This window comes from Homo sapiens, chromosome 17 (assembly GCF_000001405.40).
Source record: "Homo sapiens chromosome 17, GRCh38.p14 Primary Assembly".
NCBI lineage: Eukaryota > Metazoa > Chordata > Mammalia > Primates > Hominidae > Homo > Homo sapiens.
In genome coordinates this window covers 27,552,596-27,580,123 of record NC_000017.11, presented here as the reverse complement: position 1 = coordinate 27,580,123, position 27,528 = coordinate 27,552,596, and the positions used below count along the sequence as shown (strand labels likewise).

Genomic DNA, 27,528 nt, shown 5'->3' with positions numbered 1-27,528 from the left:
ATCACCACTGCTCTAGGCCCACTTGAGGATGGCCAGTGGGTCTTGATGTGTGCACCGACACCAGCTGATTGGCAGTGGCTGCTTGAGAATGACACTACAGTCACACAGAAACATCTGTGGGTTAGTGATATCTGCCTCGGGTGAAGGATTGGGAGGATCAGCAGGAATGTTCATCTCCTATTCACCAGCACAGACAACCATCCTTCACTCACTTTTTTTTTTTTTTTTTTTTTTTTTTTTTTTTTGGTGAGACAGCATCTGGCTCTGTTACCAAGGCTGGAGTGCAGTGGTATGATCTTGGCTCACTGCAACCCCTATCTCCCAGGTTCAAGCCATGCTCCCACCTCAGCTTCCTGAGTAGCTGGGATTACAGGCACACACAACCACTCTTGGCTAATTTTTGTATTTTTTGTAGAAACAGGGTTTTGCCATGTTGCCCAGGGGGGGCTTGAACTCCTGAACTCAAGCAATCAGCCTGCCTCAGCCTCCCAAATGCTGGGATTACAGGCCTGGGCCACCATGCCCAGCTGTTCACTCACCTTTCTTTAGACCAGAGATTGCAAAGGAAATGACTTCAACACTTTCTATCACCTCATAGGCCTCACACTGAAAAGAACATCTAATACATGCCAGGCTCTGATCTAAGGACTTTACGTTAACTCATTTCCTTTTCACAACAACCCTGAGAGAGGTGTCGTTATCACTGCCATTTTACAGATGAGGAAACTGAGGCAGAGTGAGGTGAAGTAACTCACCAAGGTCCCACAGGTTCTAAGTGGCCGAGCAGAGTGCTGGGCCCAGGCAGGGCCCAGGTGGTTTCATTCCATAGCCCACCTGTACTCTGACTAGACTGCTCTCACCAAGCCCCATGGGGATGCAATGAAGATGCTGTGATGCACAATCTAATGGGATCACTGGTACCCAGCGGATCCCAGCAGGTGCCCGTGAAGTGCAGCCAGCACTGGGCAGACGAAAGGCCGGTGTCCTGGACTGTGATGGGGCTAGGACTCTGCTGGGGATGCAGAGGCACCACAAGCTGAGACTAAATGAGAGAGAAGAAACCCAGAAAATGCTTCTTCTTCAGGGGCCTCCTCTAAGGCCTGCTGGAAAAAGCACCCTCTGAACAAGAAACCTGAGTTCAAAGCCCAGCTCTGCTCCATGCCAGGTGTGGGGCCCCAGATGACTCATCCAACGCCTCCAGTGGTCAGAGAGGCCTCAGCTACAAAGCGAGCTCAACACTACCTCTTACAACGATGTGGCCACAATATGTGTGTCACACGCCTGGCACACAGTAGGTGCATAAATTAGTGATCTCCCTCTCTTGGCATCTAGGACAGGTAGACAGCAGCCTGCATGACACAAATAGGTCACTACCACTTAAAAGCTGACTCTTCCACAATTCTTTAAAATCCAGGCATAAGGAGGAAGCAAAGAAGGGCTGACAAATTACCCCAAAGATCTCAGCTTGGGTGGCAAGCATGGGGACAAACCAATCGCCATCAGGGCCCAAGGTTCAAATTCTGGCTCAGCCACCAACTGCTGTGTGCCCTTACCCAAGCCCTTTCCCTCTCTGAGCTCAGTCTCCTGTAATATGTGAGAACAAGAACACCAGCCACACTTCTGTTGTGTTTATTTTCAGCATCTGCCGGGAGACCTGGCAGGTCAAGATTTTCTGAATTGAGTGCAACTTTCTACACTGTGCCGTGTTCAGAGGACTTGATACAATGAGGGCAGAGAGGAAATTAAGCCCGATCCTCTCTGGGAAGAAAAAACCAGGCAGAATATAAACCTTGGTGCCTTCCTTAAGCCTCAGGCAGACGGAGATAAGACAGGGGCCTCAGATAATTAAAAACCAGGCCTGATTCCATTCATGAGGCTTATTTTAATGCCTTATCTATGTGGTAGTGGGACCATTAAGTCAGGCATTTGAAGCTGTTTCCGACGCAAGATTTAGAAAGCCTGTGAATAATTCCCAAGGACCTCGTGGCAAGGCCAGGATTACACACTTTGCCTGGGACAGCCACGTACACACTCCCAGCTAAAGAGCCATAGAGTTTCCCTAATCACCCTTGGCTCAGGCCCACATCAGCATGTGCCTTCTGAGCACAGAACCCAGCCAGCAATGGGGACAGGAGAAGACGGGGAGAGGGCTGGGGGCTGGAATGTGGGAAGCTGGCAGAGGGTACACAGAGCCCTCAACAGAGAGGAAACCATGCCAGGCCAGCCCAGCCCAGCAGACAGGCCTGGGATTTCTAACCATGGCTGAAACCCCTCAGATTCGGCCTGGCCAGACCCACCAGGATCCAGAGCCCTGAGGACCCTGGGAGAGCTTCTCAGGAGGCTGTGAACATCCAACCCTGGCCTTTCCAGGCTGCCCCAGAAACCCTGGGCCACGCTTGCCCCGCTCCATCACCCACCATAGTGAAGGCCACAGCCCCAAGGGCACCAGGCCAGGCAAGGGAGAGGGTGGCAGGCCCCACGTACCCAGGCCTGTCACCTTCCGCAGGCAGGTGAGGGCATACTGCAGACGGCCACACTCATCCCCGCTGGCCCCACAGCGCCGCAGCGTCTCCTTCACCTTGGCCTCATTCATCTCCAGCAGGGCATCCAGCGTGAGGTCTCGGGGGATCTCCTAAGGGGACAGAGGGACAGGCAGAGAGGCGGTGAGCAGTCGGCTGGGCCGGGAGCCCCTCAGCCTCAGGCTGGCCTCCTGCTGAGTGGCAGGGGCCAGCTGCTGGCTGGGCCGGCCTCTGACCAGAGCCACCACGTGCTTGGGGACACAAGCAGAGCTCCCTGGCCCCCACCCTCCAGGCTCCCAGAGACAGCAGCTGAAGCAGACTCGGTGGGGGGTGAGGGGAGGAAGTAAAGACCAGAAAGGTTTGGACGAGGGCATGTTGCCCAGCTTGTTTCTTCTTACTCCTCTGCACAGAAAAAAAACAGCGAGTCATAACAACTTTTTAGAATGACGAGTACTTCAGACAAAGATGGCCCTTCACAATTTTGTTGTATCTGAATCAGATAAGAGAGATTTCAAATCAAACTGGCTCAAGAAAGGAAGGATTTAAAAAAAAAAAACAAAAAAACCTCACCAAACACTGCAGAGGCACTTACTGCCTCACCTGATTTCTATCAAAACTTTTCACTGGCCCCACCTGACAGATGAAGAAAGAGGCTCAGAGAGATTATGTCACCTGCACGAGGTCACTAGGCCATACGGTGAAGAAAGTGGCAGGCAGAATTTTAAGGTGGTCTTGTGACCTTTGTCCCCTGGTGTTGCTCCTGATCTTGTTACATTACAGAAGTCTCCCTCTTATCTGCAGTTTCAGTTACCAGCAGCCAACCATAGCCTAAAACTATTAAATGGAAAATGCCAGAAACATTCCAGAAATAAACAATTTATAGTTTTAAACTATGCACCATTCTGAGTAATGTGATGAAATCTTGCGCCATCCAGCTCCATCCCACCGGAGACGTGAATTGTCCCTTTGTCCAGCGTCTCCACACTGTCTCCACTCCCGGCCTGTTTGTCACTTAGTAGCTATCTTGGTTATCAGATCAACTGCCACGACCTCTCCCCACATAGGCACTTTATCATCTCACAGCATCACAAGATGAGGGGTGAGAACAGTACAGTAAGATATTTTGAGAGAGAGAAGAGAGACCACATTCCTGTAACTTTCATTATAGTGTATTGTTATAATTGCTCTATTTTGTTATTGTTGATTATTAATCTCTTACTGTGCCCAACTTACTAACTTTATCAGAGGTATGTATGTATAGGAAAAAACACAGTATACATCATATATATATATATTCAGTACTATCCATGGTTTCAGGCATCCACTGAGGGTCCTGGAACATATCCCCTACAGAAAAGGGGGTATTACTATATACAGCAAAAGGGAAATTATCCAAGTAGGCTTCATCCAATCACAAGAGCCCTTTAAAAGCAAAGGGTTCTCTTGAGCTGGTAACAGAGAAGTCAAGAGACCTGAAGCGTGAAAAGCAGACTTTGAAGGAGGAGGGGAATGGGGGTGGCCTCTGGGAAAAAAAGTAGCCCCTGGCTGACAGCCATTGAGGGAATGAGGACCTCAGACCTCCAGCCACAAGGAAATGGATTCTGCCAATAACCTGAATGAACGTGAAGTGGATTCTTCTCCAGAACTTCCAGGTAAGAGGAAGGCCTGGCCTACACCTTGACCTCAGCCTTGTGAGATCCCAAGTAGGGATATAAGCAGAGCCTGAGTGGATTCCTCCACCTAGAGAACCATGAGATGATAAGCGGGTGGTGTGTTAAGCTGCTAAATTTGTTATGAAGCAATGGAAAATACAAAGAATGAATGGTAGAATCAAGGCTCAGTGGACTTCAAAACTTGTGCCCTTTCCTCTCATCAGGGAGGGAGGAAACCTCTCCAGCTCTGACTACTTTGAGCCACATGACACTGTCAGAGGCACTGGAACCAGAGCCATTCCATCTTGAATAGGGGCTGGGTAAAATGAGGGTGAGACCTGCTGTGCTGCATCCCCAGGAAGTCAGGCATTCTTAATCATAGGGTGAGAGAGAAGGTCACAAGATACAGGTCACAAAGACCCCATGATAAAACAGGATGAGCTAAAGAAGCCAGCCAAAACCCACCAAAACCAAGATGGTATCCCAAGTGACCTCTGGTCTTCCTCACTGCTCATTATATGCTCATTATAATGCATTAGCATGCTAAAAGACACTCCCACCGGCACCATGACAGTCTACAAATGCCATGGCAATGCCCAGAAGTTACCCTATATGGTCTAAAGAGGGGGAGGGGCCCTCAGTTCCAGGAATTGCCTGCCCCTTTCCCAGAAAATTCACAAATAATCTACCCCAGTTTAGCATATGGTCAAGAAATAACCATGAAAATAGCTAACTAGCAGCCCTCAGGGCTGCTCTGCCTACGGGGTTGCTATTCTTTTGTTTCTCCACTTCTCTAATAAACTTGCCTTCATTTTATTCTGTGGACTCACCCAGGATTCTTTTTTGTGCAAGACTCAAGAACCCTCTTTTGGGATCCAGAATGGGACCCCTATATCCAGCAACAATACCAAACCTGGGACAAATATAAAAAACCAATGGGACATGCCTCTGGTCTCAAGTGGCCTACAGCCCAGTGGGAGGAGTGACAGACATTTAAACAGGTAACTACAATGCAGTAAGATGCGCACTAGAGCAGAGAGAGTTCAAAGAGCTATGGGACCAGATCAGACCTTTTTTTGTCTTTAACCCTTTCTATATTTTCCAGATTTTCTGTAACAGAGAAGGCCAGACATTCCACATCAAATGACTGCTATAAAGCTCACAGTTCTTGAGAATCTAAGCCAATCCTGATTTTTAGCAAGTTGTGTCTAATTTTACTTTTAAGGACTAATTTCATTGTCATTCCATTTACATGCTGTAATTCCTTGTCTCAAGCGTCAAAACTAACCCTAATGAAGATACTGGCTGAGTCCTGAAGGTATGAGGCCCAACCCATACCCCTCTCTCCCATAGCAAGGCTGGAGCTAGATGCCTGCCTTTCTGTATTTGTTTGTTTTTTACTGTACCCGCTGACGGCAGATGCTTTTGTAGCTTTTCAGTATATTCTTCAATCTTCAGGGCTGTAGGCAAGAATCACATCACCACTTAGCATGATCACACCAAAATAAAGCCAGACACATAACTGTACCAAGAAGCTCATCACTGGTTGGCCAAAACCCTGGTTGCCTTCCAGAAGATAAAACTAAAGTGTCACAGGAACCACTGATGAGAACGGCACCAGCAGGGGAGGCAGATTAGACAAATGGTGCCATGCAGAAGCTTCTATACAATCAACATGTCTTGCTTTCTTTCCCTTAGCCTGTCTTCCACTGAAATGAGGTTTGGATATCTTTGCCCTCATTTGACTGTTAAGAGCACCTTGGCGATACCGTCAGGGTAAGCACAAGAGCAACCTTCACCTTATCTGAACAAAGCAATCCTCTACTTGTCCGGAAGGGTGTCCTCAGTTTGTCTCTCCACCACATACTCCAAGGCTGTGATGACTCAGCAGTTTGCCCAGATGATGATAGAGATGTTTAATGGGGCTGGGGAGGGAGCCAGGCTGAGGAAACCCAATCTTCAACCTAACTATAATGCAAATAGGGATTCTTTTTCTTTCTTTTTATTCATCTCCTCCTCACCCATACCAAGTTTCAAGTTCTCAAAGTAACTACATTTATTATTACAAACTATTTGCCAGAACAATATGCCTAGGGCTTTGTATACATTATTTTATCTTTAATCAACTCCGCAAGTAGATGGAGTTAAGTCCATCTTACTGAGGCTCAGAGACTTCACAGCTTAACAAGTGGCTGAGCAGAATTGAAACCCACGTGCGCACGATTCCAAACCTCCTCCAAATATTCCATGCTGTCCACTTGTTAACCTGGCAAAGCCTTGGGATACAGCAGCTACCTTTCAGGGGAAATTATTTTTTTCGAAGTAAATTAATTTCTACCTACTTTCAGAAAATAGAAGTGAGGTACAGAAACAGCTGGATTGGTTACAGCTCCTTTGCCTTATTTGAACAAGATTCGAACAGTTGGCTACATTTGATTGGCACAAGTGCAGTCTACAGTGTTTTTATACCTCCACTTGTTATAGTTCATGATATACAGAAAAACCTTTAGGCTGAACTTAAAATATCTAAGGAGGTAGCTCTAGGCTAAACTTGATTTAACACACTTCTCTGCCTTTTTACTGAACAAGAAACCCAACGGCAGCAATGGCAATGCTAAACAGAAAACCCCCGCTTTCCTCCCTTGGTGTTGGGGAAAGGGGCAGGCAATGGAGGGGCACCAGAACTTCTGGTTTTAAAGAAATCTGAATTTTTATTTTTAAATGGCTGGCTTTTACATGGTGATAACTAATTCAAATCTGTGCAAACAAAACAAATTATGTCCATGAGGAACATGGGGCTTCCAGGCCTAAGCGCGGAGACCCCATGGGAAGAATCTGATGCCTTCCAAGGTTAATCTGATCAGTGAGTGACATCTAAAACTTTATTTCTGTAGGCAAACGGGGGAGGATGCAGGCCCAGTAGCAAGTACTCCAGGGGACCAGGCTTTCTCAGTGAGGGGCCCACCCTGGAAACAAAGTGCCCCACCTCCCAACTCTACAACTGACTCTGAGACCCAATGTTAACTTAATCAAGAAAGGAAAGCTACCAGGACGGTCGCGTGGCTGTGAAGGCCCCTGCGAGGGGCCCTGATATCTCCCAGTATCATGACTCAACAGTGCCCCAAAGCAACTCAGCACCCCCGAAACCTCACACATGGATGTGACTCGCCCACCCACAGTGACAGGCACAGCCAAGTCTGATTTAGGAAGATGTTTTCAAAGCAGAGTAACTCACAACTTTCCTGGATCATCTCTAAACCAAAAACAAATTAGGGAATCAGTTTTGCCACCTGCTGAAGGTGAACTCGCAGGTGAAGCCACTCTGAAACCTTCTCAGGTCTGAGAGGCTCCAGTGCCCCAGGAGGGCATCCCATCTGCCAGGAGGTGCCCAGAAGATGCTAAGTTGTCTCAAAGCCAAGGGCAAAAGGCCCCTCTCTCTGCCCATACCCCAAAGTTCTGGAGAACCCGGCTGGGAGTCCGTACTGCCTCCAAGGAATTACTGCCCACCCCAGCTTCTGTCTAAAGAACAAAATATGGAACTACAAACCAAAAACGGAAGACATGGATGCCCAGACCATCATAGGAGATGCCCAATCCATCTTGAGAGATGCCCAGTCCCAGCTCCGACAAGTCTCAGGGTTAGCATGGGTGCACACAGGTGGGGATGCAGGAATGAGGAGCAGAGTGACAGCATCAGAGATCATTGGCTCCCTGCCTCTGCCTGTCTCTCTCAAACCAGGAGATATGTTCTCCAGTAGGTGGGATTAAGTTATTCTTTCTGATAATAATTGGAGAGCAGGGCCAGTTGAGTGCTGAGGTCACTCCCAGTCTGTGACAATCCAGTCATGTCATTAGCAGGAGACTGCTGGTCTCCATTCTCTCCAGTGGAGGGTGAGGATGGGTTTGGGCAACGTGCTACCCCCTCCCCCAGCAGCTGGCAGAGGCTGGCGTCACAGGCCATGCTGGGTAAGCCGGCAGCTCAGGGCCAGTTAGGTATCAAATGGTATCCAGGGATTTACTAGCAGCCACGGGGCTGCCTGGGGTCTATACTTAGAAACCTGGGCCTGCTGACACTGAGAGGCGCCACACTCCCTGTGGCCAGTCAGGTGGACCAGGAAAATGCCAGGGGCGGCACCGCTGCTGTACCGGCCACGTATACAAACACACTGCACTTCACGCAAGAACACGGGTGAAAGCTGGGTTGAAGGAAGATCAAGAAGCAAACCCAGGCTCTGTGTTTCTGTTCAGTTTTGCATCCCTAGAACATGCCTCAGGCAGTGCTGCTGGAACACAGGTCCATCTGTGGAACCTGGATCACTGGTGTGCATGGGTGATGAAAGGGATCCTTAACCCCAGACCTTTCCCCAGGAACTGGTCAGACCAGAGAGGCCAAAGGTGGGCTCCTAGAGCCCTGTGGGTGGTGACATAGGACCCTGCACATCCCTCTGAGGCCAGAGCCCAGCGGGGCTGGAAGGAGAGAGAGAGAGAGGAGCAAGTGGAGAAGGTTTCTATGGCAGCCCAGGCTGGGAGCCACATGTCTCAAATTGGCAAGGGAGCACCTGACAGATGTTTCTCCTACCTGCACCCACCATTGGGGCTCATGGAGAGGGAGGAGTGAGACTTGGATAGTAACAGTCAGATATTCTGGGAGGCACAGGAAGGGCTGAGGCAAGAGCCCAGGTCAGGCAGCCTCCAGGGGCTTCCACAGAAATCAGCAGAAAGCCTGGGGATGTTGGCTTTGCTTGTGGCCAGTTCCGGGCCCAGCCTCCTCACTACCCCACCCCTGGGAAGCAAGGCAAACAAAACCCCCTCCCAGGAGAGTCAGTTGGTTCCTTGAGGGCAAACTCCCCTCTTAACACCATTCCCTAGAGGCCAACACAGTGAAGCAAAGAGCCAGACTGGGTCCCCGCAATGCCCCTGACCTCGGACAAGTCCCCGCCCCTCTTTGGGCTTCGGATTTCCCATTTATAAAATGAGTGGTTCTGCCTAGAACAAATCAACGGCTCTCAATCCGGGTTGTGCCCTGGAATTTTCCAGGGACTTTAAAAATGAATCGCAATGCTTGGGCCCCACTTCAGACCGGCCAAATCAGAATTTCTGGAGGTGCGGACCATGAGGGCAGACAGGCGTTGGGGCCCAAAGTCTGGCTAAGGCAGCCCAGGACAGAACAGGTCTGGGGATGTCCAGACCAGAAGGCAGATGTGGCCACAGCACGGCTGTGTTCAGGAGGCCACATTCCTTCCACTGAACTCGAGCCCAGCCCAAACTCACAGCTGTCCCAGGAGACGTCCTCTCCTGTGCCCAGGTCCCTGCCTCCCTCTCCACAAAGCAAATAGGGGCTCACAGTAGGGAGCTGGGCTTGAACTGGAACCTTCAGGATTGGCTTCTTCTCACGTATGCATTGGTAAGCCTGGGATTGAAAGCTTGTTTAGAAAGAAGGTACAGTGGTGGGTGTGGAGGAATAGAGGTCAAAGGGGAGAAAGAGATGAGAGGGGTTCAAGAAAGGGCAATAAGCATTTATTACACATGTCCTGCGTGCCAGGCACTGTCAGATGAACCACAGAGGTCAGCACATGCAATCCTCCTAACAGCCTGAGATGGGAGATAAGGCTGAGAGAGGGCGGGTAACTTGCTCAAGGCCACACAGAACAAGGCCATCTCAACCCACCACCAGCCAGCCCTTGTGTCCACTGCCTTGCATTATGAAGTGAGCCCTTTTTCCCAGGGCAGCGTTTATTTGCCACCACTGGCATCACAGGTCACATATGACTTTCCAGACCCCACACCGCTCTATCCCTGGGCCCAGCTAGGGTGAGCTCTGGCAGTGGGGTTTAAAGCAGCTGCAGGAGGCTCCTCCAAGGAGGTCTCTCCATGTTCCCTTTTAATCCCACTTAGCCTCCACTCCAGTCCTTTGGAGGAGGCTGGCACTTTTCAACTCTGCCTGGGACCAGATATCTAGCTTCCAGCTGCACCCGCTGTCACCACAGCCACCACTTTCTCTCCAGGCCAGCCCACCCTCCTGGAAAGCTTGTCCTGTGGCTGCCTCCTTGCTCTCCCTATCAGCGTGGAAAGGCCCCATTCCTCCTTCTATAAATCCAGAGGTATAATACATAGTGTGAGAATAGGCAAACTTTTTCTGAAAGCCACACAGAGTCTCTTCAGCTTTGTGGGCCACATGGTCTCTGTCGAAACTGCTCCACTCTGCTGCTGTGGCACCACCAGAGCCACAGACAACACGTACACAAATGGGTGTGGCTGTGCTCCCATAAAATTTAACTATGGATACTGAAACAAATTTCATGTAACTTTTACGGGTCACGAAATATTCTGTTGTTTTTAATTCCTCCCGCCAGTTCAAAATGTAAAAACCATTCTTAGTTCACAAGGCTCTACAAAAAATAGTGCTGGGCTAGATTTGGCCCAAGGGCCAGAGTTTGGCAACCCCCAAACACATAGCAATGCTGTTGGGCTCCACCTGCTGGTGGCCCTGGGCCTGGCTCCTCCTCCTTTCCCACCTCCCCACCTAACCCCCAGCACACAGTCAGCAGGACAGGCTTGCGGGCACACCCACATCTTGTCACCTTTCTCTGCATCATCAACACACATTTCTAAAACCAGGCTCCTGTGTGAAAATGGCCGGATGTGTCCTGCATTAGAGAAACACACACAGCTACTCCAGCTTTGGGCACTGGTGTGTCCCCCAATTACTCCCAAAATGTAGAGAGGAGATGGGAAGGCTTCTACAGAGTGGGTTTCCCTACTCCCAGGATGTTTTGTAACATTTTACAAAATGCGTGATTGTAAAATTTTAATTCTTTTTAAAAAAAGAAACAGTATTATCCACAAGATCCCACACTAGAACTTGAGTCAAAATGAATACATTAAATTTTTTAAATGTTTAAAGAACATTCAAAAGGAAAAGTGGGTCAGGATGGAACGTGGGAGGGTGAGCCACAGCCAAAAAGCTGCGTTAACCTTGGGTGACACTTGACTTCTAGGGGACTGGCAAATGAGAAAGTCCCGCCCTGCACAAAATAGGGCTATGTGCAGGGGCTAAAGCTGAGGGCCTGGGATCAGAGGCCCTTTCAGGGATGGCAGCTGGCTGAGGATGGGGCTACAGAGGAGGGTAGGGACAGGACGTGCCCCTCAACAGGGACACTATTCCTCTACGGAAGGCAGAGCCCTGACAGCAGGCCTCAGCTGGGACTGTTGCCGGCAAACTGGGATGCGGTAATCCTATGAGGAGGGTGCAGGGTGCTAGGTGTGGCTAGAGATGTAACTCCCCATGGGGGACCCCAGCTCTCCTGGGGGTCAAGGCACTGACAGAACTAAACAGGGGTTCCTGGGTGTGGCCATGTCCCCGGCATCTTTACTGCTCCCCCTCCCCATTCTCCCCTGCTCGGACACACCATTGAAAAAGAGAATGGTCAGACGAGTCCCCTCCTCCTCCACATGCACAGGGCAAGAGCTCGGAATTCAGCCAGTGAGGGCCCTGGTGCCAGAGGGCGTCCAGACTATCAAATAGGCCTCGGGCACCAGCCTTGGAGTCTGGTGGGTCCCTTGTGGGGCCAGAAGCCAAATCACAGATGCCGTCCACCAGAGGGACATGTCCCAGTGTTTAGCACGTGAGGTCTGTCCTTTGGGGTGGTCTGTCCATTCAGATGGGAGATGAGCCAGGCCACAGCAAGTGAGCCCAGAGCTGGAGACAGAAGAACCAGGCTCCTCCGCCTAGGAACAAGAGCTGTCGGGTTTTGGAGCTGCCCCATGGGGGTCCAACTAGGAGACAGGTGTCTCAGGAGCTCCTGCTCCCCTCAGGCAGCCCCTCTGTGGTTTTCCAGAAACCTTGAAAACAACTTCTGCCCCACAGCAGTAACAGGCATCAAAGCTATGGGACCTCAACAGAGACCCTGAGCAGATGGCCGAGGAGAAGCTGGGGAGACCAATGCCACAGCTACCAGGCTCTAGGGGCACGAAAGGGGCCAATGGATCTTCAAGGGGATGGGAAGAAACCCCTTCTCTGCCGAGATCAAAGGCAGGCTCCAAAGGGAACTTAGGGACAATCTAGTCAGCACTCATTTCACAGAGGAGAAAACCTGCCTGGGTCACCCCAAACAATGGTGCCAGGACCAGGATCCAGGTGTCCAGACACACTTGCCAGTAACCAACGCCAGGATATACCATGCCCCCGGGAGGGCGAGCCAGTTTCCAGCACGCATTCCCTGCCCAAGTGCAAAGGTTTCATTCCTTCCAGGTTTTCTGCACTAGTCCAAGAAGGGAGCCAAGGTCAAGATGTCCCTGAGGTCTGCCCTGAGAATCACCTCCCTCTGCCTAAGGGACGCCAAGTCACATGAGTGCCTTGTGGGCCCAGAGCCCTGTGCAATCCAGAAGCAATGCGGCTCTGGGCTCGTGGCCTCACCTGAAGCCTAGCCAGGTCCTAGGCCTCAGTGGCTTAGAAGGTGGCAGATGGGCGGAACTCCTCAAGTCCATGTTCTTGCCCACTCCTACCCACTACAACTTTTTTTAAAAAAGAGACGAGGTTTCACTATGTCAGTCTGGCTGGTCTCAAACTCCTGGCTTCAAGCAATCCTCCTGCCTCGGCCTCCCAAATTGCTGGGATTACAGATGTGAGCCCCACCCCCATTTTGGTGACAATGCACTTTTCTTCTTTTTGAAAAGAAGAAACAGATCCCACGTCACCAGCGACACCCTAACGCCCAGGTCCTGAGACCCACTCAGGGCCATGGCACATGGATTCTTACACAGCTTCTTGAAGTATTTTCCCTTTTCACAATCAGTCTAATCATAAAAATAACAACTATTGGTATTATCACCACCGTGTAAGTAGCCTAGGCACAACTGCTTGGTAGCTAAGGAACTGAGCTTCATAGAGATTAAGTTACACACCTTAAGACACTGCAAGCCCTGAGTAACAGGGCCTGGATTTGGACCTTGGTCTGTGTGACCCCAAAGTCAGCACTCACAGTCTCTATAACCATCGGCCTCCCTGGCCTGGTCAACCAGAAGCATGGAGAGGTAGAGCTGGATCAGCCTATACAGCTCCACGTTCTTAAGCTCCCTGTAAAAAAGCAGCATGCTCAGAACAAGTGTGTGTCCTACTCAAAAGCAGGAAATGACCAAACACTATTCACTAGAAGGATGGGGAGGATCTATTTCAGGAAGATTCTAACTGATCCCCAGTGACTTTATCACACAGAAGACAGCGAATGAAGTCATGAAACAAGCACCTTCTGCCCCAACATGCGATTTCTCCACACGTGTTCTACAGCCAGGTAGCAAAGCAGGGACTCAGAGTCTAGCAAACAGACTCAACTCCAGGGAGCTGTGGAATGGCCTCCTGCGCCCAGACCCCCGTGCCTACCTCATAATCCTCCAGCCCAGGTGGGCTCACGCCTCGGGCTTCTCTTGGCATCCCCAGAGGTGGGGGCCCTGTGCCCCTGGACACCTTGGCTGTCACCCAGCTCCACAGGCGATTCATGACAAGGGGGCCTGAGCCCAGGGTCCCCGGCAGCCCTGGCCCCCAGTGCAGTGTCCCAGGGAAGAAGGAGGCAGGGAGAGGGGTTTCTGTTTTCATGACTGTAGTGAACAGTCACTGCAGCCAAAAATAGTTTGTGCCTGGGAGCTGGGGAGTCAGCACATACTTCCCGGGGCAGGTGCTGGGTGGGAGATGTGCAGGCTCCAGCAGGCCCTGCAGCAGGGGCTGGGGACCAGGCACCCAGGATGTCCAGGATGCAAGGCCACCAAGAGGTTTTCCCTGCCTTGCCACCTCCCTCCAAAAGGTAGGACCTGAGTCAATAAGAACACGGTCATCTCCCTCCTTCCAGTGAATCATCTGGGGAACCCCCACCCCCACATGAACTCCAACTGCCCCCAAGCCCCTGCAGCTTCTCGCATGCTTCGGGTGAGTGGTATGGAGACCAACAGGAAGAACCCTATGAACTGCAGCAGATGCCTGGGATGGCTCATGGGACAACCTTCAAAAGGATGCTCAGCTGTCAAAACTCCTAGAGGTCTACACCAGAAACCGTGAACTGGAGTCCATGCAAATGAAAAAAAAAATGTAGAAAACAGTTAAGTGCTGGCTATCAGTGGCTGGCAGGGTTATGTGGGGGTTTTATTTTATTTTTAAACTTTTCTGTATTTTAAAATTTTTCTACAATGGATGTTCATAATTAGATTCACAGAATGCTGTTTTAAAATAATAATTAGTGGCCAGCTGTGGTGGCTCACACCTGTAATTCCAACACTTTGGGAGGCTGAGGCAGGTGGACTGCTTGAGTTCAGGAGTTTGAGACCAGCCTGGGCAACATGGCAAAAGCCTGTCTCTACCAAAAATACAAAAAAATTAGCCTGCTGTGGTGGTGTGCTTGTAGTCCCAGCTACTTGGGAGACTAAGGTAGGGGGATTGCTTGAGGCCAAAAGATGGAGGATGCAGTGAGCCAAGATTGTGCCAATGCACTCCAGCCTGGGTGACAGGGTGAGATGCCATCTCAAAACTAAATAAACATAATTTCACGTAGTTTTTCCATCTCTATTTTATACTGAGGATAAAAGCACTGCCTCCTCATACAGTTACTGAGAGGAGTGAATGAGATTCCACATAAAGCTCACAGCTCAGTCCCAGGCACAATGGGAGTGCCTGCTAAAGAATTACAGCATAAATTCATAAATAAACTACAAAGAAAAAGAAAAAGAGAAGCCTAGCAAAGTTGGTTGACTGGAAGGAAATGCATCAAATGGTTTACAGTGTTTCCTTTGAGTAGTAAGATTACAGTGCAAACCATAATAAATGGGAGCTGTTACTGTTTTCTATAATTTCTATACTTTACACACTTTGAAAATAAACATATATGTAAATTACTGGATATTAAGAAAACACCTAAAAAGCTAACAGCCAATGGTTGTCTCTGAGTAGGGTTTTCTTTGCCTTTCTATTATTTTCTAAAATAAACATTGATTTCATAGTGAGAGAAATAACAAATGTTATTAAAAACAAAAACTGGAGGGTGGGCTCACCTACTGTAGTCTAGAAACATGATCTCTGCAGACCCTTCCTGTGGAGCTGCAAAGCCTCTGACAAATCATCTCTGAGGGAGGAAAAGTTTCTACACGTCTCTGCCTTCTGTTATCAGGGCTGTCTTTCCTCCAAGAACCCATTTCCTGAGCCTACTGTGGGTGGGGGAGGTGGGGGGGGGGGGTCTTCCATCTTCTTAGCCCAGTGATTGGTTACAGTATGAACATGTGGTCAAAGCCAAGCCAATCAGAGCCTTCTCTGGGATTTTTCAGCTATTTTTCAGCCAAGGGAAACAGCCCTTCATGGACAAGCATGACTACAGTAGAAGGTAGTGAGGCTCAGCTGCCTGTGCTCTTCATACCTGCCATGCGGAGCAAGCCTGTCCCACAGGCACATCCTAATGGCATCACCTGAGCCCCTGCATCCAGACTTCCTTGGATTTGTATTGCCTAAACTGGTAAGTCTCTGTTTTAAGCCAACAGGTATCTGAACTTGCTTTGAAAAAAGTTCTAACTAGGAATAGAAGAATATAACTTCGATTAAGTAAGTACTTACTATGAGCCCTGGTGCCATGTCATTCTTCCATTTGTCCATCTATCCATCCCATCCAGTCAACAAATAGCTACTGAAGGCCAGGTGCGGGGGCTCACGCCTATAATCCCAACACTTTGGGAGGCCGAGGCAGGCAGATCATCTGAGGCCAGGGGTTCGAGACCAGCCTGGCCAACATGGTGAAACCCTGTCTTTACTAAAAATACAAAAAAATTAGCTGGGTGTGGTGACGGGTATCTGTAATCTCAGCTACTTGGGAGGCTGAGACAGGAGAATAGCTTGAACCTGGGAGGTGGAGGTAGCAGTGAGCCGAGATCGTGCCATTGCACTCCAGCCTCGGCAACAAGGTGAAATTCCATCTCAAAAAAAAAAAAAAAAAAAAAAAAAGCTACCGAATACCAACTGTACAAATAAAAAAATAGCTAAAATACATAATTGAAGCTTGTGAATAAGTGCTAAAAGGAAAGAGCATGCTGAGATAAAGCGGCAGGTATAGCAGGCCTCTAAGCTTAGACAAGGTGGCCTCTCTGAAGAGCTGACCTCTAAGTCCCGGTCAGAGGATGAGATGGCACTAGCCACAAGGGTACAGCAACTTCCAGGCAGAGGAAACAGAACATACAAAGGCCCTGGGCTAAGACAGGAAACCATCTGATGCGTTCTCCTGCCAGTGGCAGAGTGCAGAAAGGCAGGAGATGACGTGGAAGAAGGTGGCAGATACTGAATACTTAAGGGGCCTCAAAGGTAGGTGAAGGGTTTGGATTTTGTGCTAAGCGTAACAAGACACTGACAGAATATTTAACTCAGAACTATCTAGCCAGGCTCGGTGGCTCGTGCCTGTAATCCCCACACTTTGGGAGGCCAAGTGGGAGGATCACTTGAAGCCAGGAGTTTGAGACCAGCTTGGGGCAACAGAGTGAGACCCAATCTCAACTAAAAAATAAAAACATAGCTGGGCACAGTGGTGCATACCTGTAGTCCTAGCTACTGGGGAGGAGGAGAATAACTTGAGTCCGGGAGTTGAACGCTGCAGTGGGCCATGATTGCACCACTACACTCCAGCCTGGGCAGCAAAAAAACAGAAAAGGAAAATGGAAAGGAAAGGAAACAGGAAAGGAGAAAGGAAAAAGAGAAAGTAAGAAAGTAACATAACCGGATTTGCTAAAACCACTGTTAGCTCACGAAGAATGAAATCAAGAGGGTAAAGAGTGGATATAGGGAGCGAATGGGGAAACTGCAACAGTCCGAGGACTAGTCAGGACCAGGGAGGTGGCAGTGATGGAAAAGAGATGCAAAAGGACTTGAGACCCATACTTGGACATAGAGCCAGTAGGATTTGCTAGCTGATTCCACGTGGGCATTGAGGAAGCACAATGAGTCAGAAACGACTCCCAGGTTTCCAGCAAGAGCAGCTAAGACAGTAAGCAGGCTCAGAGAAGTCAAGGGACCTGTCCAAGGTCACAATGCTGGCAAGTGGCAAAGGAAGAATTTTGTCAAAATTTTGTCTGCCTCCAAGGCCATTTACTTCCAGAGGTGACACTCAAACAATTTTGTTTCCCAATCCTGTGGCCTCCCCCAAAGGTACATAGCTAGGAGCAGGGGCCACTGAAATTTATGTGCTATTTTTTTAAAAGAAGGGTAATAAGAGATTGCTGCTTTATAATATTTAAAACAGTGCAGTGTTGACATAAATGTTTCCCAATGATATCTGGCCATAGTCAGATCTGTTCTAGAGCAATCTTGCCTTTGAGGTGGTCCTAGGAGGAGGAGGGAACACACACAAGCTGACCACTCAGGAGCCAGGTAGTCCCCAGAGGGGGCTCAGGCACACACTACACCAAAGCCATCTCATGGCAGGGCTATAGGCACACAGTCCTGCTCAAGTTCTGTGGCCGACAGAAGCCTGAGGCAGTTTCGGAGCCCTGGGATTCAGCAGGCCACCGGCAGCCACCTCGTCTTCACCCTCCCCAGAGATCCTTGTAACGCAACCTTCACTGGCCCAGGTGAGAGCTCCTGAGACGCCTTGGGCCAAGAGACCAAAATTCTTTGGATAATGTTATTTGAATCCAATCATTCAACAAGAAAACCCACCACATGCCAGGCACTGGGGATAGAGCTGTGAATGAAATAGCCAGGTCCCTGCCAACATGGTGCTTCTAGTCTAGTCAGTTTTCACTGGACTGGGCAGCCCAGAAATCCAAAGGATTGATCAAAAACACCAAGCAAGGCCGGGCCTGGTGGCTCATGCCTGTAATCCCAGCACTTTGGGAGGCCATGGCGGGCAGATCACTTGAGGACTAGAGTTCAAGACTAGCCTGGCCAACATGGAAAAAACCCGTCTCTACTAAAAATACAAAAATTAGCCGGGTGTGGTGGCATGTTCCTGTGGTCTCAGCTACTCAGGAGGCTGAGGCACAAGAATCACTTGAACCCGGGAGGTGGAGGTTGCAGTGAGCCAAGATTGCGTCACTCTACTCCAGCCTGGGCGACAGAGCGAGACTCTGCCACAAACAAACAACAGACAAACAAACAAACACCAAGCAGTACAGGACTAAGCAGGACATTCATGCTCATGATTTTTCAGATTTCATGAAACCAGGGGAACCCCCACCCTGAAAAGTGGGTACCTTTGGCTCAAGATAAGAAAAATTAATGACTTCATCTATTGGAGAAAGTGATGTCTGCCAGTTCCAGAAGGACAGGAACTCATGTTCAGTGGCTAGAACAGTGCCGAGCACACAACAGGTGCTAAATACACACTGAGTGAGTGAATAAATAACTGAATGGAAGTAGGACCTCAGCTCTGTACCTGACCATGCTTCATCCCTTCCCCGCTCCTTGGGGCCAGCAGTCAGCTACGCACCCTAGTTATTTGCAGACGTGTGCATCACACTAGCTGTAAGCATCCAGGACAGACTATTTTGCTCATCAATTAATCCTCTGTGATAATTAATCAAGGTACCAGGTAAAAGGTAAGTGATCAATGGGTGCATATGAGTAACGAGTGAATGTAAAGGAAAGAAGAAATGAGGGGGGAAGAGAGAGACACACGTGCACACACACAAAGGCAGGCAGTCAATTCATTTACACAACTACATATCATACAGTAGCCCCAAAACTGTGCTATTCTGGGTAAGATATTAGATGACAAAATTGTGTATGAGAAGGAAGTACAAGGACCTGGGTTTGAATCTTCATCCTGCCATCAGCTTGCAGGGGATCATCAGATCTCCCTGTCTCCTGTCCCAGGGATAAGGATGAAACAGGATGACATCTATACAATGCTGGCCTTGTAGCTTGCCCCTTCCTTCCATGCTCCAACTTCAGCTCCTCTCCTGACTGGCCAGGTGATACAGGCATGCCAGTCCACCACTTGCCACCATTTCCCCATCCTAAGTGGAGAGCTGTGTGGCCCAGCCCCCACTGGGCTGGTACCAAGGCAGCCCTGTGCTGCTGGGCTGACACATTGGCACAGATCCCTCCAGGAGGCTGGGTGAGGGTGTGTGCTGCTTCCTGGGGAGGCTCCCAGTTGCCAAAGAGCAAGGTTGTAAGAACAGCTGGGCCTCTGGCTCTCAAAGAGAGAGTATGGGGCCGACAGGAGGAGGGGTGGGAAGGAGAGGCTAGGAATGAGGGCCATAGTCATGCCGACTCAAGCTGCACCCCAGGAGCCAAATGCGGGTTCGCTTTCCTGGTTAGGTCTCACACATCCTACTGCCTCATACAGCCTACATTCCTGGTGTCCACACAGAGCTCTGGCCACCCCCAGCCACTGGGAAACCAAAATGGTGGCAGGAGTAAGGCAGCTTTGTCCCCCATCTCTGGGAGAAGGCCTCATCTTAAACACAGGAACGCAAGGGTAGAGGAGAGCGGAAAGAGAAACATGTCCAGTCAGGATCACAACAAAAATCCCCTTACCAGATCCGCCTGCATCTTCAGTTCAGGAACCACCAGCAGTAAGAGCTTATTCAGGGGAACCTGTGGCTTTCACCCTGGAATCCCAGACTCTGCAGCACCCACCTCTCCCAGCTAGAACTGCTCAGGCAGCGCTTGCCACTTCCTTTCAACAACTTCCAACCGGGAAATTGCTAAAGAAAAAAAAAATGGCTCCATGCCAGCAGGCTCTGAAATCATTTCCCCAGCTGCTGCCAGAATATGAAGCTGAGACTTTTAGACGTAACTTGTGGGACAGGGGGCCGCTTGAAACAGCCATAGTGTGCAAATCCAAATGACTGGGAGCGGGGCAGGGCCCCGCCTCTGAGCTCCCTCCCATCTCATTTCCTATCCCCGACCCTTCCACCCTCCAGCCACGTGGGAGGCAGCGCTCCTCACCCCGTCACTCTCAGCCCATCCCCATGTGAATGCAGCCTTCTTGCTAGTTTTATTTTCCTTTAAACAATTCTAATGTTCATTTGGAATTCCTGCCCCTCTCTCACACACACTTCCAATATCCCCTAAGAGGAGCCCCAACCCCTACACTGCACACAGGGAGAGCTGCAGGAATCCACCCCGGCTCCCCGCCAGCCTCCTCACAGACTCCTCCTCACGCGCTTCACAAGCGCTCTGATTTCCTCATCCTCAGGGTCTCTGCAGATATTCTTCCCTCCGCCTGGTGTGCTCTTGCCTTCCCGGACATCCGTCTTTCCCTGACTACCCAGGATGAGTTGGCCCACTGGCTCCAACAGATCCCATCCCGGAGCCATCAGGGCATCTGGGGCTCTCACTTCCTGTTTCACCCCAGTCTGTGTGCTCCTGGGGCAGAGGAAGGTGTCTTCAGCATCCCAGCTCTCACCACAGGGCCCTGGTCAATGCAGTCATAGCCAGATGTCTATTCAAATTAAAATTCATTACGATAAAACAAAACACGAATTTCAGTTTCTCAGCTGCACTATACACATTTCAAGTGTCCCCAAGCCACATATGGCTAAGGGCTGCCACACTGAATGGACAATACAGAAGGTTTTGAACAGCGCTGCTCTAGATGAAGATCTAGTGGTTGGGCAAACACATGCAGGCATTGCCCAAGTTCTGTCTCCAACATCTACAGACAGGGAAGGGACGAGGAACCAAAGGTCAGGCATGCAGCGCCGCAGCAGGCTCGGAGCCGCAGAGGGCTGGCATCTGACTCAGGTGGGAACAGAAAGAAACCCACGCAGGGCCACCTCAGCCACACCAGGAACCTGGAAATGCAGCTGCCGTACTGTGTGACCACATCCATGTCTATCCCCTCTCTTCCTCTAGTAGAAAAGGCATTATTTCCTGGAAACTTTAAGACCGCAAACACTATCCAACCAAAAGACAAAATCTGAAATGGTATTTAGATAACCCTGCAGGGATGGCCCTTAGGAAAACAATATGGAAAAGGAAGGAGGAGATTACACACACAGACGGCTGCACACACAAACGATCCACGTATGTTTTCCTAAGGGAAAAATCAAAGTCCTAGTCATGAAGCCATGAAGAGTCAAGGTCAGCAGAGAACTCAAAGTGACTGAAGGGACAAATCCCACCACACAAAGTTCCCCCAGGAAGCCTCAGGGGGCAGCCCTGGGCAGATCATCTTCAGGCACTGACTGCAAAGATGCGGGGGTCCTTCAGCACTATCAGGTTAGCAAAAGGAAACAGAGAGACTTCACGGATTTTGTTCCCTTCCAAAGAAAAAAAAAAAAAACAAAAAACAGAAAGACAGACAGACAAATATTGAAAGAGTCCTGTTTTCAAGTCTGGCATCCCTGACCTCTATCCTGCAGTGACTTTGGTACATTCCTTCACCCAGTAAGTATTTGCCAGGGCCTCCATGTGCCAGGCGTTACAGCTGGGCACCTGGCCTCTTCTGGGCACGGGCTCTCATCTTCGTTCAGGTGCTGAGTCACCTGAACCACCAAGTTGCCTGATGTCACTGTGTGCGCATGTATGTGAGCAGGTGGGTATCCCTCAGACACAGGCATTCATATCATACCTTGATGAAACTGTATCTCTTACTACTCTACTGTTAAAGAAGGATAACATGAATTTTTATGGATAACACAGATGACGTTAAGACTGCAAACCTGCAAAATGATATCTATCATATGATCCCATTTCAGCAAACAAAAAAAAAAAAAAAGAGAGAGAAGGGAGTAAATTTGCACGTCATTTTAAGTGACTGTAAAATGCGTGAAGAGGTCTGGCAGGTGCACCCACTGACCTGTTAACAAGGTGTTATCCCCGCGAAGTGGAAGAGGAGGGCCTTTGCTTGCTTTCTAACACTTCTGTACTTGCTTGGTGTTGAAAAATTTAAAACTCCCATCTCTCAGTAACAATGGATAGCTGATCACATCTTGTGTGGGCTAAAGGAAAAAAAATGGGTGAAGACACACAAGGAAGCTTTGCCCAAAATCCATGGAAGAAAAGCCTGACTCGGGGGCACAGAATACAGGAGTAAAAACATCACCCCATGATCCGTGCGGCAGAGCTCCAACTGCTGCACACAAACATTACATAGGAGCCAGTGGGAAAAGCACATGATGAAATACCTCGAAGAGAGCATGGTATACAACTTACAGGAGGGCAGACACATCTGAGAGGCAAGGCAAAGCCACCATCTGGAGGGTTCAGGGGAAGGTACCACTCCACATGGTCTCTCCGAACCACCTCACCTGACAGAACTCCTTCTACTCTAGGCTTCTTTACTGTCCAGAAGCAGCAGCCATCTGAGGAAAGGACTTAAAAGGTCACTTAATCTGTCATTTCTCATATGGATAAACTGAGGCCCAGAGAGATGAAGTCACTTGCCCATGATCTCACATTGTGTAAAAGGCAGATAGGCCCATTCTAGATACCCATAGGATCTCAGGTCCTGCCTGGGTCAACCATGGCCACAGCCATGCAGGTCCATCCTGCTTCCACTGGACAGTGGTTCTGGGAGGCAGGGTTACCTCCCTGCAGTGCCCACCACAGTGGGCACCAGCAGCCAAGTGAGCGTGCTATGTCTAATTCTTGCCTGGAAAGAGGGGACAGATGCCATGACTTTCTGGCCTCCGCTATCCCCCCAGGACTCCTCCTGATGCTGGTGGTGTCTTTTGGTCCAACCTCTCTCACACGTACAGGGAACCATTCCTTCAGGGTGCCAATCTCTGCAGTCTGAGCTACCTTGGAGGAGACTTCTCTCCAGGCCAAACTTCAGGGTCAGGCAGAGAGGGGTCTAGCTCTAATATCCTCCAAACCAGACCAGCTGCCCCACAGAAATCCCCAAGGACCTATCCCCACCCCCTGGGCCAGGTTTCTGGAGATCTTGTTGGGTTTTAGGTCCCTCCCGAAGCTTGACAAAGGGAAGTCCCTTTCCCCACAGACCTGGATCAGGCTGTCCCATGGGGCCACTGGCAGGACCTTGGCACTCCTCCCCCTCCATGTGAGCCAAGCTGTCCTGTTGGCCCTTTAGGGGCTCTCTAGTTTCCTAAACAACAGGAGGGCTAAGGCACTAAGTCAGGACAGCCAGGGAGAAAATACAACTTTGCTTCTAGCCTCCAAGGCACCAGGCCAGTCTGGACATAGCAGAGGCCACACCAACCCATGAAGGCCTGGGCACCCTAGAGGGATTCCTGAGGCAGGACTAGGGCAGGCTGGAATCTGGGCCCTGCACCACACTGACCATTCAACACACCCAGGGACCCTGTTCCCTCCTCTGACTCTGAGTCTTCTTCTGTGGGCATGGCCCTACGCAATTTCTTAGGAAACATACAGGGACAGGAACAGGGATGAGCTGGGGGTCTTAACTACTGCCCAGCCAAGTACAAGTTTAGAAAAGGTATATGTGCAGTTTACTGTCTGGTCCAGGTACACCTGGAATGAGAGTCTCATTAAAAAGTTGAGCAGGCCAGGCACGGTGGCTCATGTCTGTAATTCCAGGACTTTGGGAGGCTGAGGCAGGAGGATCACTTGAGCCCAGGAGTTCAAGATCAGCCTGGGCAACATAGAGAGATCCTGTGTCTACAAAAAAATTAAAATATATATATAGCCAGGTGCAGTGGTGCGCACATCTGCAGTCCCAGCTACTTGGGAAGTGAGGCGGGAGGATCGCTTGAGCCCAGGACATTGAAGCTGCAATGAGCCAGGATCGCATCACTGCACTCCAGCCTGGGCAACAGAGCGAGACCCTGTCTCAAAATATATAAATAAATAAATAACCGTTGAAGAAAAAGACTGCTTTTATTGTATTTTAAAAGACACTTTGGAAACATTCACTAAAATCCAGCCTAGCAAGTTCACTTCTAGGTTTTTTTCCCTGTAGAAATACACAGGTGCACAAAGATGTTCTTGGTAGCAGTGTTTGTAACCATGGAAATACAGGTCTTTAAGGGGAAAGAGCAGGTTCCTGAACCAAACGTCTGGCCTGATCTCATGTGTACAAAAGAGACAACACGCAGAGGAATGTGAGGGCCAGAAAATGTTCAGAAAGATGAGCAGGCTTCAGGGAAATGGGATGCAGCAATTTTCTTTCACTTTATCTCCTTTGTTTCATTTTACCCCCTACAATAAACACATCTCTTCTAATAAAACCAATGGTTCATTTGAGAAGATGAAAACGTTCCAGTGGTGACAGTCACAAAACAGTGTGAAAGTATTTAATGTCATTGAACTGTAAACTTAGAAATGATTAAAATGGTAAATTACGTTATACGTATTTCACCACAGTTTTAAAAAATAAAAATAATAAAATCAAAACAAAGCAGAGCGAATAACTCACCAGGCTCCCTGGGGAAATAACTGATTCTAGAAGTGGGGTTAGTAAAAAACAGAGGGGGCTGAAGCATACTGTAGTGTCAGAAAGCAAAGGAAGTGCTACACACGGAAGTGCTACACACACACACACACACACACACACGCCAAACAAAACTGAAGGATGGGCAATGTCACAGAGTGCAGGAACAAACCTGCAAGAACTCCCAATGGCCAAAGCTGGAAGAACTTGAGAAACAAAATAAATCATGTAGTATTGGATTAGAACCCAATGTGTAAAAGAAAAAGACATGAGCCTATACTGATATAAATGACTGAATGAATAAATAAACGGAGGAGAAAAGACAACTCTTTCCTACAGAAAAGTTCCAAATAATCTGTGTAGATACACCCCCAGAGGAGATGGAGCTTAACCCACCTACCCCTCATACCCCCCAATCCTAAGGGAGGGCTCACTTCCAAAAAACAAAGTAGTGTCAACGTCATGAAATTAAGGGAAGACTGAGAAACTGTCACAGAGCAGAGGAAACTGGGGAGACATGATAAATCAAAATAATGTAAACCATGCGGTGCCCTGGATTGATCCCAGAAAAGAGAGAGGACAGTAAAGGAAAAACTGGTCAAACCTACATAGTCTGGAGTTGCGTTCATTGTAATATACCAGTGTCATTTCCTCAGTTTTGACAAAGGCACTGTGGTCACGACAACGTTAATGATGGGGAAACTGGGTGAGGGGTACATACGAGAACTCTCTGTACATCCCTGCAACTTTTCTGTAAATCTAAAATTATTCCGAAATAAAAAGTTTATTTAAGAAAATAAACAATGGTTTAGAACAGTGGTCCCCAACCTTTTTGGCACCAGGAACTGGTTTCATGGAAGATAATTTTTCCAGGGACAGGGAGCGGGGGATGGTTTCCAGAGGATTAAAGTGCATTACATTTATCATGCACTTTATTCTATTACATTGTAATATATAATGAAATAATTATACAACTCACCATAATGTAGAATCAGTGAGAGCCCTGAGCTTGTTTTCCTGCAACTAGACAGTCCAATCTGGGGGTGATGGGAGACAGTGACAGATCATCAGGCATTAGATTCTCACAAGGAGCACATAACCTAGATCCCTCGCGTGTGCAGTTCACAACAGGGTTTGTGCTCCTGTGAGAATCTAATGCTGCTGCTGATCTGACAGCTGGCGGAACTCAGGCGGTAATGCGAGCAATGGGGAGCAACTGTAAACACGTTCCTCCTGCTGTGTGGCCCAGTTCCTAAGAGGCCAAGTGGACCGGTACCTGTCAGTGGCCTGGGGGATGGGTCCCCTGTTTTAGATGACAACCCACGTATGCCTAGCGTTCCATTGTTGGAATGCTAAGCACATGGGAGTTATTTATATCCTACTGCTCAAGGTCATTGCCAAGGTCTGACCGCAAAAATTCAAAAAACTGCAACCTCTGGCATAAATGGGTTAAGAAGTCAAAAGATTCTCTGACAGACGTGGGTTTTTAATGCATGACAGACATGGGTTTGGAACTCTGGCTTCTGAATACTGCACCTATTTTTGATGGGCAGAACTTACAGAGCCAATTCCCACTGAAAGCACACAGAATCCATCAGGGCCAGGGTAGGGGTCAGGGGCAGCAGTGGGTATCGAGTCAGAGTCCGAAGAACTGTCTGGGTTAAGAAACAGAATAAAATAGACCCACACCCCTGGGGCCAGCCCTTGCAGCTGAAGCCCTGGAGAGCTGCTCTAACTCAGGGTTCCCCCATCACTAGGCTTCCACACATGTACAAGGAGAAACTCTCAGAGGTAGAACTGAACCAAGGTAGCCCTCTCCCCAGTCTGTAGGAGCTGAAGCTGGGTTTACTAAAGGAAATAGCCTTTTCTTTCTGGGCTTTAGAATACTCTGGCTATAGCCCAGGAACTGACATGAGATTTGGGAGGAAGAAAAAGAGAAATCTTGAGAAGGGGTTTCTGGAGAGTCTGGGGAAGATGGAATGACAGCAGCTAATGGTTCCTTGTGGTTCTTAAAGCCCAGGAAGAAAGCTGCCAGGCCCAGGTACCTCCAGCAGGCTCCTGCAGCCCAGTCTGCCCTCCTGCTCCCCATCCACTCCAGCCTCACTTCCTCCTGGCCCTGCTGGTGAGGACACCCTTGGTACCAACTGGGGGGACGGAAGGAGGACACTTGGCCCAGCTCTGTCAGGCTGGTGTGCCGCCCTCTCTGTCCTAAGCTCTGGGCTGACTCCCGCTATCTCTCTTGATTCAGAAAACTGCCTCTAGTCAGCCATTCCCAGCCTTCCTTCACTCCCCAGGAGGCTGTTGAGAGCTGCCGTATGTGCAGGCCTCTCTAGCTGCCTCTGCTGGGTCTGGCTCTCACCTGGGATTAACAGCAGCTGAGGGTAAGAGAGAGGTGGGAAATTGTTAATTTTTCCTCCTCCACCCCCGCACTTGACTTTCACAACTGCCTGTGCCAGCAAGCAGCACATGGGTTATTCCCATTTCACAAGAGGAGGAGACTGAAGCTTTGGAAGGTGAAAGGGCTTGGCCAGGTGCCTGAATCCAGGCATTCCAAGAAGAAGGAGAGAGAAGTGGTTGAGACGGAGGACTCACAGTCAGGTGTGGAGGGGCACCCGGCTCTACTCCTCTGTGGCTCTAGGACCCTGGTGAGTTTCTATACCCACTGAGTGCTAGCTTCCTCAACTGTGAGGTGGGGAAAATGGTCTCTATTAAGTAGGGTGTTGGGATAATTAAACAACACATCAGTGTACCCATCATGACACGCCAGATGTGCTATGTGTCAACTTTGAGGCAAAAGAACCCAGAGGCTCTCAGGGGCCCCAGGACCCCACTGTGGCCACCAGTGCAGCTCAATAACCAGATAGCAGAGGCCTCCCAGGAAAGGGCTGCTCAGGCTCCTGGCAGCACAAACCCTTCATGAATGAAAAGGACGTTGGCATGGGAAGAGGGGAGTGCTACTGCATCTAAGAAATCTTTGGGTCACTTGCCCTAGCCTTCCTGGAGAGGGCCATCTCCCCTGGGGGCACCAACTCTCCCAGG

General features: G+C 49.4%; 1 protein-coding gene across 19 annotated transcripts in view, besides 3 other annotated features; it reads right to left on the bottom strand.

Annotated features, from left to right (window-relative positions):
- The window catches only part of KSR1 (kinase suppressor of ras 1), a 169,988-nt gene that overhangs the window by 46,312 nt on the left and 96,148 nt on the right, over nt 1-27,528 (bottom strand). For 17 of the 19 annotated variants that reach the window (XR_934587.4, XR_007065523.1, XM_047436989.1 and 14 more), the window contains one exon: nt 2,485-2,632. Coding sequence is in view for 15 of the 19 variants with exons in the window: in XM_047436985.1 (XP_047292941.1) it covers nt 2,485-2,632 (148 nt within the window). In the remaining 4 variants the exon portion in view is untranslated. Of the gene's footprint in view, nt 1-2,484; nt 2,633-19,667; nt 19,787-27,528 lie in introns of those variants that run through there. The other 2 variants (NM_001394584.1, NM_001394585.1) reach the window with 1 other exon arrangement.
- Nucleotides 760-829: an enhancer, noted in NCBI's record as "active region_11908". NCBI's record gives its function as "activates an Ori minimal core promoter by ATAC-STARR-seq in GM12878 lymphoblastoid cells {active_cell/tissue: GM12878}" and the evidence as "EXISTENCE:reporter gene assay evidence [ECO:0000049][PMID:35858748]".
- Nucleotides 9,569-10,329: an enhancer, noted in NCBI's record as "H3K27ac-H3K4me1 hESC enhancer chr17:25896821-25897581 (GRCh37/hg19 assembly coordinates)". NCBI's record gives its function as "activates a minimal SCP1, AML or CMV promoter by ChIP-STARR-seq in naive H9 embryonic stem cells {active_cell/tissue: H9 hESC(naive)}" and the evidence as "EXISTENCE:reporter gene assay evidence [ECO:0000049][PMID:30033119]".
- Nucleotides 12,083-13,035: an enhancer, noted in NCBI's record as "H3K4me1 hESC enhancer chr17:25894115-25895067 (GRCh37/hg19 assembly coordinates)". NCBI's record gives its function as "activates a minimal SCP1, AML or CMV promoter by ChIP-STARR-seq in naive H9 embryonic stem cells {active_cell/tissue: H9 hESC(naive)}" and the evidence as "EXISTENCE:reporter gene assay evidence [ECO:0000049][PMID:30033119]".